Raw genomic sequence first — 12,524 nt, 5'->3', positions numbered from 1 at the left:
CTTCATTTAAGAAGAGTCCCATGCCAGGCACAATGGCTCCCACCTGTAATCACAGCATTTTCGGTTGACAAGGCGGGAGGGTGACTTGAGGCCAGGAGTTTGAGACCAGCCGAGGCAACATAGAGCGACACTGTGTCTAAAAGAAACAAACCAAATAGAAGAAGAAAAAGTCTCTAGGGAAATCCAAGACAGGAGGGAAGAACAAAACAAGGACACCTGAGTAAAGTTTAACCTCTGACACCTATAGCTCCAGCAAACAGTAAACACAGTCTACCGCATAGTCAGATAAAAATAAACTCTCAGCTGAAAGGCCCATTCTCTTCCATTCCATTTACTCAGGACATTACTACTGGCTTTCACCAAAAATGTTACAAGGCATAGTGAAGGGGGAAAAAAAAATCACAGGTTGAAGAGTAAATATCAGGTACATATGCAGGTTTAGCAGAGATGTTAGAATTACCAGCTTGAGAATTAATACAACTATGATGAATAAGCTAAGGGCTCTAATGGAAAAAGTGAACAACATGCAAGAACAGGTGGGTAATAATAGCAGGGAGATGGAAACTCTTTAAGAAGAATCACAAGAAAACACTAAAAATCTAAAACACTCTAGGCAATAAAAGAACACAGGCAAATTAGACTTCATGAAAATTAAGAACTTTTGTGCATCAAAAACACAATGAACAGAGTCAAAATGCAACCAAAAGACTGGGAGAAAATATTTGTAAATCACATATCTGTTAAGGGATATATATCCAGGATATATAAAGAACTCCTGAAACATGACAAAAACAACAACGACAGCAAAATCAAAAATGGGGAAAATATTTGAATAGACATTTCTCCTAAAAATATACACAAGTGACTGATGCGCATGAGAAAAGATACTCAACATCACTAATCATTAGGGAAATAGGAATCAAAGGCACGATGAGGCACCTCCTCCCACTCACTAGGATGGCTACTGTTAAAACAAATAAAGCAACGACCAACCAGGAAATAACAAGTTGGCAACGATGTGGTGTTAGTGGAATCTCTGTGTAGGTTGGAATATAAAATGTTACAAAATTGCCGTGGGTAACAGTATGTGATTCCTCACAAAATTCCAAATAGGGTTACCATATTATCTAGCAATTCCCCTTCCGAATGTATACCCAGAATAATTAAAAGCAGAGTCTCAAAGAGATATTTGTAGACCCATATATATAGCAGCAATGTTCACCATAGCTAAACTGTGAAACCAGCCTAAGTGTCCCTTGACACATAATTGGATTAGGAAAATGCAATATACATACAATGGGAAATTATTCAGCATTCAAAAGGAAGGAAATTCTGGCATAAGGTACAGCGTGACTGAACCTGAGGACATTATGCTAAGTGAAGTAAGTCAGGCATGAAAAGACAAATACTGTAGGATATCATTTACACACGGTACATAGAGTTGTCAAATTCATAGAGACAGGAAATAGAAAGCTAGTTACCAGATGAGAGGGAGGAAAAATGGGGAGTTATTGTTGAACGGGTATAGTGTTTCATTTTTGTCAGAGGAAAAGAGTTCTTCAGATGAGCCATGGTGATGGTTGAATAAGAGTATGGATGTATTTAAGAGCCCTGAAATGTGCACTTACCATGGTTAGGAGGGTTTATGTGATAGGTGTTTTATCATGATAGAAATAATTTATTAGGAAAAATAAAACAACCCCCACTGTAACAGAAATGAAGGATATCTTTGATTAATTCATCAATAGGCAGGACATGGCTGAGGTAACAAGCAGCAAGCCTGAAGAAACGTCAATCAAAAATCCAAACCTGAAATGCAAAGAGAGAAAAAAGGAAGAAAAGTAACAGAAAATTCAAGAAGCATGAGACAGTTACAAAAGGCACCACCACTGTGCATAACTGAAACACCATGTTCAGAAGGTGAGAAAGAAACAAAGGAAATATTTGAAGTGGTAATGGCTGAGAATTCCCCGAATTAATGACAGACATGAAACTGCAGATTCAGGAAGCTCATAGAACAGGAAACAGGATAAATACTAAGAAGTATACATCTATGTACATATTCAAACTGCAGAAAATCAAAGAGAAAAAAAATCTTGAAAGAAGCTGGAGGAAAAACAAGTGTGAGAGAAATCCTTTCTCTGTCTATCCTCTCAACACTTGGCCGCCTAGCGTGACCCCTGAAAGGGAAATGCACAGCAATGTGAGGACACAAAAGACTTACCTTCTAGCTAGAGGATCAGAGAAAGTCCCCAGGGACCCAGTGAGCTTGGGAAAAACCACTGAGAGTAGCGAATGTAAGCAAGAGAACACATTAAATTGAGCAGAAATTCCTGGGCTCAACCTAAGGTGCTCACGCAGAAATCTTCATAGTTACCGAGGACTGGAGGACTGAACTAGTGGTAGACCATCACCCAGTAGTCAGCCATTATTCAGGAGGACTCAGAAATGCTATGGATGCAAATATCACAGCACCACCAACATAAGAATATGCCTTTTTTCAAGCACACATGGAAAACACACCAAGCTAGATTATCTCTTGGGTCATAAAATAAATATATTTTTTTTTCCTAAGACAGAGTCTTGCTCCATTGCCCAGGCTGGAGTACAGTAGTGAGATCTCAGCTTACTACAGCCTCTGCCTCCCATGTTCAAGGGATTCTCCTGCCTCAGCCACCCGAGTAGCTGGGATTACAGACACACACCACCATGCTTGGCTAATTTTTTTTTTTTTAGACAGAATCTCGCTCTGTCACCAGGCTGGAGTGCACTGGCGTGATCTCGGCTCACTGCAACCTCCGCCTCCCAGGTTCAAGTGATTCTCCTGCCTCAGCCTCCCAAGTAGCTGGGACTACAGGCGCACATCACCACGCCCAGCTAATTTTTTTTTTTTTTTGTATTTTTAGTAGAGATGGGGTTTCACCATGTTGGCCAGGATGGTCTTGATCTCCTGACCTCGTGATCTGCCCGTCTCGGCCTCCCAAAATGCTGGGATTACAGGTGTGAGCCACCACGCCTGGCCGGCTAATTGTTTTATTTTTAGTAGAGACAGGGTTTCACCATGTTGGTCAGGCTGCTCTGGAACTCTTGACCTCAAGTGATCTCTCTGCCTTGGTCTCCCAAAGTGCTGGGATTACAGGTGTGAGCCACCTTGCCAGTCTCTCTTTCTTTCTTTCTTTCTTTCTTTCATTTTTCAAACAACAGATTTTTAAAAATCCACATCATCAAGCTTATGTTCTTCGACCTCTATGGCACCATATTAGAAATGAAACAATAACATAAGTACAATAGGAAATTATCATACCTTGTGGAATTAAACGACACCATCTTCAACAATTCAAGGATCAAAAAGGTAGCCTCAAGGAAATTAAAAAGTCCATAGAACTGAATTTAATTGGAAAAGCAACATATCACAACTTGTGGGATGCAGCTAAAACAGTGTTTAGAGAGAAAATTATAACATTACTTAGATTAAGATAAAAGAAAGATCTCACATAAATAATGTGAGCTTCTACCTTAACTAACCAGAAAAAGAGGGAAACCAATTAATTCAAAGCAAGCAGAAAAAAAGAAAAAAACACAACAGAAATAGTTCACAATGAAATCCGAAAAAAAAAAAAAAGGAAAGAAAGAAAAATCATGGAAACCAAAAGCTGTTCTTTGAAAGGATCAAGAAAATGGATGGAACTCTAGTCAGTCATGGAAAGTAAGAGAGAAGATACAAATTATTAAGATCAAAAGTGAAACAGGAAATATCATTAGAGAACCTGTAGACCTGAAGATAGCCATGAAATGCTAAGAAGAAATCTGTGCAGAATAATTCAATAACTGAAATGGAATTCATGATAAAATGAAATGAAATTCTACCAAAATCAGAAACTAGTGGAACTCACCTTAGACAAAATGGATAACTTGAAGAGTACTTTAGCTACCAAAATAACTGATTTCATAGTAAAACTCTTTCTGAGAAAGAAATCTGTAGACCCAGATAGGTTCACTGGAGATTTCGTACAACCATTTAAAGAAGTAACATGAATTTGCACAGTCTCTCAGAGAAAATAGAAGAGAAGGGGATGTTTCCCAAATCATTTTACCTGGTTAACATTACCATGGTATTACCAGGCTAACAGTACAAACAAACAAGGAAACACAAACCAATAAAAATTCTAGAGGTCAATATGCTTCACAAACATAGATGCAAAATCTCCAAAAAATTAGCAAATAGAATCCAGCAATATCTTAAAAGTCGGATTTATCTGGAGAATGCAAGGCTGGTTTAATATTTGATAGTTGATCAATGCTGTCCACTATATCCAGAAATGTATGATGACCTCAACTAAAGCAGACAAAAGCACTTGAGAATGTACAACATAATCACAGTGAAAAGTCTCAGGAAACTAGAAATAGAAAGGAACTTAACCTGACAGAGTACATGTACAGAAAACCAAGAGCAAATATCAAACTGGGTAGTGAAAGACTGAATGCCTACCCCTAAAAAGAGAAACAAGAAAAGGATGTCCCCTCTCACCACTCCTATTCAGAAAGGTAGTGGGATTCTTACCAGTGAAATCAATCAAGAAATATAAATAAGAGACATCTTGAATGGGACAGAATATATAATGTTGTTTCCAACCTCAGAAGACACAACTGCCTATGCAGAAAATACCAAGGAAACTGCACAAAAACTCCTCAAATAAGTGAGTGCAGGCAGGTCGCAAGGTAGAAGCTCAACACACGATAATCGTATTATCGTACTTCATATAATGGCAATAAAAATGGGAAGTTGCTGTTGCATTTCCTTAGGCTCTCTGATTGTACCTTTCACCCTGTCCAGTCCCCTGATGAGACCAACAAAGGCATTCTTCATTTCCCTTATGGTCTATATATTTTTTTAATTTTTAGCATTTCCTTTTCATTTATTCATTCATTCTTTTTTTAATTTTTAGCATTTCCTTTTCATTCATTCATTTTTTTTTTTTTGAGAAGGAGTCTCGCTCTGTTGCCCAGGCTGGAGTGCAGTGGCACAATCTTGGTTCACTGCAACATCTGCCTCCCAGGCTCAAGCGATCCTTGTGCCTCAGCCTCCCGAGAAGCTGGGATTACAGGCGCCTGCCACCACACCTGGCTAATTTTTGTATTGTACTCATTTATTTATTTATTTTTTAAGTAGAGACGGGGTTTCACCACGTTGACCAGGCTGGTCTCAAACTCCTGATGTCAAGTGATCCATCCACCTTGGCTTCCCAAAGCCCTGGGATTACAGGCCCCTTTTCAGTTGTTCTTGAAGAGTTTCCATATTTTGACTTACAGTACTTACCTATTCTTGGATATTATCCACTTTTTCCATTAGGGCCCACAGCGTGTTACTCATACTTGTCTTAAATTCCCAGTCAGATCATTCCAACATCTCTATCATATCTGAGTCTGTTTCTGATACCTGCTCTTTGTCTTCACACTGTGTGTGTGTGTTTTTTTTTTTTTTTTTGTCTATTAGTATGCTTTGAAATTTCCTTTTGCAAACTTGCCACGATGTGTCAGATGAAAAGAATGGAGTTAAATAGGCCTTTAGTGTGAGGTTTACCTTCATCTGGCTGTGTTTACTGTTTGCTGTAGCTGTAGGTGTCAGAGGCTAAACCTCCCTGTGGTGTCCTTCACTTTTCCTCCTTGGCTGTGTTTGGTTTTCCTTGGAGACCTGCTCACTATGGTCTGGCACTCACAGTTCTTTCAGTTTCATTCCCCAGTTGATGTGGCAGTGAGCTGCAGAGGGAGGGGAAGACTTCTATCCTCCTATGACTACATGGCAGGCTTGAGTCAGTGTACACCGGGCTGTGGCTTTCACTAGTGCTTCTCAGTTTTGTTTTGTTTTCTCCTTGGACAGACATTAAGGGGCCAGAATGTTGTAGCTGGGTGTTTTCCTTACCCAGTGTTGATGAGAGTCTAGAAAAAAACCAAGTAGGACAGACTCTGGTAAAACAGTTTCTCTTGAGGGCAGACCCTCGTTTGAAGAACAGAATACTCTGGGCATATTTTCGAATGACTCCTTTCTCCCTCTGGTCCTCACTGGGGGAACCTGATAGGGCTCCCAGAGGTGAAACTCTGGAAACTGTGGTAGCCTTCTGGATGGTGCCCCCAGGAGTTTTTAGTTCTCAAATTTGTCCATAGTGAGCCCTCCACCATTCGTCTTATAAAGATGAGGTTTTCGTATCCTGGTCCTTGTTTCTGGGCATTCAGCTCCTGAGCTTCTGCTCTCCAAAGTTGTGGCTGACTGTATCTACTGTCTCTTCCGTTTTGGGTCAGCAATCAGCCCTATGGCCTCAGCTCTCTGAGGGATCAGAGAAAAGTTGTTGTTTTCCAATTTGTTCAGCTTCTTATCTTGTTTGCGTCAGAGGCAGAGAGCCATCTAGCTCCTTACATACCCGAGTGAACATAAGAATTTAAGAAAATTGGAAAACTTTTTTAAACATAGCAGTTTTACATAGGTATACATGTGGCATGGTGGTTTGCTGCACCCATCAACCTGTCATCTACATTAGGTATTTCTCCTAATGCTATCCCTCCTCTAGCCCCCCACCCCCTGACAGGCCCCAGTGTATGATGCTCCCCTCCCTGTGTCCATGTGTTCTCATGGTTTAACTCCCACTTATGAGTGAGAACATGCGGTGTTCGGATTTCTGTTCTTGTGTTAGTTTGCTGAGAATGATGGTTTCCAGCTTCATCCATGTCCCTACAAAGGACGTGAACTCATCCTTTTTTATGGCTGCATAGTATTCCATGGTGTATATGTGCCACATTTTCTTTATCCAGTCTATCATTGTTGGACATTTGGGTTGGTACCAAGTCTTTGCTATTGTGAATAGTGCCGCATGGCACGTGGATACCTATGTAACAAACCTGCACGTTCTGTACTATGTAACAAACCTGCAGGTTCTGCACATATACCCCAGAACTTAAAATGTAATAATAGTAATTTAAAATTAAAAGAGATTCCCTGGAAAAAAAATCCCATCTCAATCACTTTGCTCTTTTAGTATCACTTCTTGTGTGCCCTTTCCTCCTTTCCAAATAATCATTTGAGGCCCAGCTGATACAGCATATTATCCTCAAAGGCTTTGTTGACTCCAGCTACACTGTAGATTCTGTACTATACATTCTTGATTTTTTTTACCAAAAAAAAACCCAAAAAACAAAAACAAAAACAAAATAGCCATTTTAATAAAATTAAAAATGAAATGCTTTGGTATATATCTAACAAAACATGTACATATCAGGATGGTGAAAACTACAAAATGCTGATGAAAAATTCAAAGAAGGCCCAACTAAATAGACATAGCATGTACATTCACTGGAAGACTCAGTGAAGATATGTGATCTGTAACAAAGCGATCCATAGATCCAATGTAACTCCAGTAAAATACCAGCAAGCTTTTTTGTACTTGTACACAAGCTGATTCAAAAAGCATACGGAAAGGTAAAGGTTTTGAAATAATTAAAACAATTTTCAAAACACAGAGTAATTGCACAAATCGTACCACTCAATTTTAAGATTTAGCATAAGCCTAAAACAATCAAGTCATTATGGAATTTTCTAAGGGATACACGTATAGATTAATGGATTAAAACAGAGAATCCATAAATAGATCCACGCGAATATAGCAATGGAGGTTTTAGAAAGGGGTAAAGACAATTTATTGGAAAAATATTAGTCTTTTCAATTAGTGGTATTGGAACAACTGAACATCCATGTGTTATAAAAAAGACTTGACCAAAACCTCACATGTTATACAAAAATTAACTCAAAGTGGATTACAGATCCAAATGTTACATGAAATACTATAAAACTTTTAAAGAAGGCCGGGTGCAGTGGCTCACGCCTGTAATCCCAGCACTTTGGGAGGCCGAGGTGGGCAGATCACGAGGTCAGGAGTTCAAGACCAGCCTGGCCAACATGGTGAAACCCCATCTCTAGTAAAAATATAAAAATTAGCTGGGCGTGGTGGTGCGCACCTGCAATCCCAGCTACTCGGGAGGCTGAAGCAGGAGAATCGCTTGAACCCGGGAGGCGGAGGTTGCAGTGAGCCGAGATCCTGCCATTGCACTCCAGCCTGGGCAATAGAGTGAGACTCCGTCTCAAAAAACAAACAAACAAACAAACAAACAAACAACAACAGCAAGAAAAAACTTAAAGAAAACACAGGGTGAAATATTAGTAGCCTGATGTGAGGCAAAGAGGTCTTAAACATGACACCAGCAGTGTGATTCATAAAGAAAAGAAACAATAAATTAGACTTCCTCAGAGTTAAAACTTTTGCTCTGAGAAAGACACTGAAGAGACACTAAAAAGCCAAACGAAGTATTCACAAGTATTTGCAAATCATATATACACCAAAGGCCTTTTATGAAAATTGTATAAAGATTCCCAAAATCTCAAAACTTAGAACACATGTCAAAACACAAAGTTTCACCAAATTTTGTTCAAAGATCTAACTGGCTTTTCTTTATGATTCTTGAATGGGCATTTTTTCTCTCCGTCAACTTGAATGCGTGTCCCTATGTGCTGAGCAAAAGACGTTGGCTTATAGGCAGAAGAGGACGAAAAAAGTAGAAACAGGGAACAAAAGGTGGTTTGGTGATTTCAAAGTTGATTTCCTTGTAGGATTAAAGCAGAGAAAACTTTCTTATCGTGCCTGCTCAGGTACGGTGGGCTCCTCGTTATTGGTTGCTGTGACTATTCTGTTTTTAGTTTTTTGAGAACTGGCCCGTTTCAATGTTCACTTTGATGAATGGCAATTAGTACAAGGGACACTATTCTGATTTTGTCTGTTCTGCTGGGGTCTGGGGCCAGAGATTAGGGCAAAACAATGGCCTCCCATGAGTTCATTTAACACAAACAACCACATTTTTTAGAAGGGCAAAACATATCAATAGACATTTCACCCAAAAGGACATACGCATGACAAATAAGCCCATGAAAAACTATTCTACATCACAGCTATTAGAGAAATGCAAATTAAACCATGATCAGATGCCATAACACATATTTGAAAATGACTGAAATTTTTAACGAGATACTTGTAAGTGCTAACAAGGATGAAGAACAACTTGAAATTTCATACATTGCTAGTGGCAGTTATGAAACGGGACAACTGCAGAAAATGATTTGGTAATTACTTATGAACACATGCCATGTGACTCAGCGATTTCATCTAAGGGAAAAAGAAAAATTTATGTTCACACAAAAGCCTATGTACGTGAATGTTTATAGCAGCTCCAGTCATATTTGCCAAAACCTGGAAATTATACAAATGTATTTCCATGGGTAAATGGGAAATGAAATTTTGGGGCATCCTTACTTACTATGAAATACTTCTCAGCAATGAAAAAGAATGAACTACTGATACACACAACAATGTGTTTCAAACTCGAAGGTGTTTTGCTGTGTGAAAGGAGCCAGTCTCAACCAGTTACATATTCTATTATTCTGTTTACCTGGCATTCTTGAAAGAGAAAACTGAAACGATGGAGTACAGATGAGTGGCTGTCAGGGTTCGGCGCGCAGTGGTGGGTACAGCTATAAATGAATTGCACATGGAGGGGGTTTCTTTTGGGGAGAAGACGTAATAATCTTAACTATTAATTCACCTAAAAGCAGAGCTTCAAAATGCAAGAAACTACATCTGATAGAACTGCAAGGATAAATCGCCAAATCTACAATGATATTTGGAGATGGCAACAGTCCTCTCCAAGTAAATGATTGAAGTAGACAGAAATTCTGCAAGGGTGTAGGAGGAGCTGAACAACAAAGAACAAATGTGAGCTGATTAGATTTTAGTGAGCACTCCTCAGAACGACGGTAGATTATATGGTATTTTCAAGTGTGTGTGGAATTTTTACCAAAAGAGACCAGAAAACAACCCATAAAAAATTTAAAATAATTGGAATTGTACAAAGTATCTTTTTAAAATCTATAATGGAATGTAATTCAAAATATAACAAAGGAAATATCTGTAAAGTCCTTAAGTATTTTTAAAATAAACAACACATTTTTACTAATCCATGTTTAAAAAAATTCTTGAGGAAGGTTAGAAAATATTTTCAAATAAATAAAAATGGAAATGTGATGTTTTAAAATATCTGCAATTTAGCTAAAATGTGCCTAGGGGACATTTTATGTACTGAAATGTTTATATTAGAAAGTAATAAAAGACTCAAATATGTATATTTTGATCTCAAATAGCTAGAAAAGGAAAAGGAAATTAAACCTAAGGTGAGCAAAACGATGGGGATAATATAGACAAGAAGAGAAAAATTAATGAAATTGAGATTTCAGAAGTTTTAGAAAAACAATAAATAATACTGATGGAATCAAAAGTTAGATCTTTAAGTAGATCAGACAAGCCGAAAGGCCCGAAGTCAATCTAAGAAATTTAAAACACATGGGTTTGGGCCAGGTGCAGTGGTTCAAGCCTGTAATCCCAGTACTTCTTGAGGCAGAAGCAGGCAGATCCGTTGAGGCCAGGAGTTCAAGACCAGCCTGGCCAAGATGGTGAAACCCTGTCTCTACTAAAAATACAAAAATTAGCCAGGCGTGCGGTGCATGCCTCTAATACCAGCTATTCGGGAGACTGAGGTACGAAAATGGCTTGAGCCTGGGAGGCAGGGATTGCAGTGAGCTGTGATCTTGCCACTGCACTCCAGCTTGGGCAACAGAGTGAGTCTCTGTCTCACAAAACAAAGCCAAACCCCAGAAAACGTGGTTTTGGAGAAGCAACAGCGTTGAACACAGCTAGAAGTAGAGGACACTTTACAGAAACTATTAACTGTTGTGACAACAACAATGTTTCTTAGAGAAGTTTCTGAGAAGACCAGATTTGCCTTGAAATGCTCGACGTGTCTGCTATGTTACAGATGCTTTCAAACGTATTAACCCAGGGGTCCCCAACACCCCCGGCCATGGATAGGAACTGGGCTGCACAGCAGGAAGTGAGTGGTTGGGCAAGCAGGTGAAGCTGAACTCCACCTCCTGTCACGTCAGTGGCGACATTAGATTCTCATAGGAGCGGGAACCCTATTGTGAACTGCACACGTGAGGGGTCTAGGTTTTGTGTTCCTGATGAGAATCTAACGCTTGATGATCTGTTACTGTCTCCCATCACCCCCAGATGGGACCATCTATTTGCAGGAAAACAAGCTCAGGGCTCCCACTGATTCTGCACGACGGTGAGTATGCAATAATAATAGAAATAAAGTGCGCAATAAATGTAATGTGCTTGAATCATCTTGAAACAATGCCCCACCCCCACCCCGTGCTCATGGAAAAATTGTCTTCCAGAAACCGGTCCCTGGTGCCAGGAAGGGTGGGGATCACTGCATTAACCCATCTGATTTGAAGAGGATCCTGTAAGGTCAGCATGGAGAGTTCACCTTGTACACTCCATAGCATTTTCTGCACTTCCCTTTGCCACACCATCTATCAGCTCAGGAAGCTGAGGATTTCCTCCTTCCATCTGATGCAGGGGCAGAATCTTACCCATCATCTCTGCTACCCTCCATATGACTGTTCTTACCTGAACACCTGTATAGGTGCCACTAGTCACGCTGAAAGCCGGCATGTTCCTGGGGACAGATGCCAGACAGGAAGCAGTGAAAGGCTGGTTAAATATTCTTTTGAAACTCCAGCTGGCATGTTCGCCATGGAACCATTTTTCCCCTCCTGGGAGGAGCCCAGGGTTTGTAAGAATTCAGCTTCATGAAATGGCTGCTCCTCTTCTACCTCTTAGGAGGGGAATTTCTGAGCACCATCCGTCTGTTTGCGTGTTCTGTCCCCAGCTTCAGATAACAAACTCAATAAAATCCTACTACAAATATGCAACTGACTGCGAAAATACTCTCTCAATCCTGGGGGCTGCAACCCAACCAGGAGCTTATGGGTCAAATTGGACTCTTCTCACAGCCCACTGGGAATACACAGAGTAGAATTCTCCCAGGGAGGGAGGACCAAGTGTCTAAAGTCACCGTCCAGAATGGTTGCGGCTGTGGGACTGGACTAAGGGCGAGCCGTGCGAGAACCAGGGGACTACTTCAAGGGCTAGGAATGCTCCATGTTGCAGGAAGGGCAGGGGGGTCTGCCCAGCCTCCAGGGGGAGGCAACAGTGAAGAGCAAGCAGCAGGTCAGGTCGCAGAGTCAGAAGGGAGGAAACATGATAGTGACCGGGGAAGGGCACTGTGACACGGGAACGTGCTGATGCCAGACAGAAGTGCTGATTATGTATTCGTCCCTTGTGCCCAGGAAAGAGAAGATCAAAGATGTGGATGAGCATTTGTAGGCGCTCCTACAACCTGTTGCATAGTAGGTGCTCAACAGGCAGCACCCAGCAGACAGTTCCCAGGGGACCCCCGGCATGCCATCCCCAAATTGTATTTGATGCTCATTGGCACCTTCTTTAGGCCTGCATTTAGTACCTTGGCCTCAGGGTCCTTCTTTTTGTTGCCTGAGAGACATGATGCATTGCTGAGAAGAGGAATGA

This window comes from Homo sapiens, chromosome X, assembly GCF_000001405.40.
Source record: "Homo sapiens chromosome X, GRCh38.p14 Primary Assembly".
In the NCBI taxonomy this organism is placed as follows: domain Eukaryota; kingdom Metazoa; phylum Chordata; class Mammalia; order Primates; family Hominidae; genus Homo; species Homo sapiens.
This window is presented reverse-complemented; position numbering follows the sequence as displayed.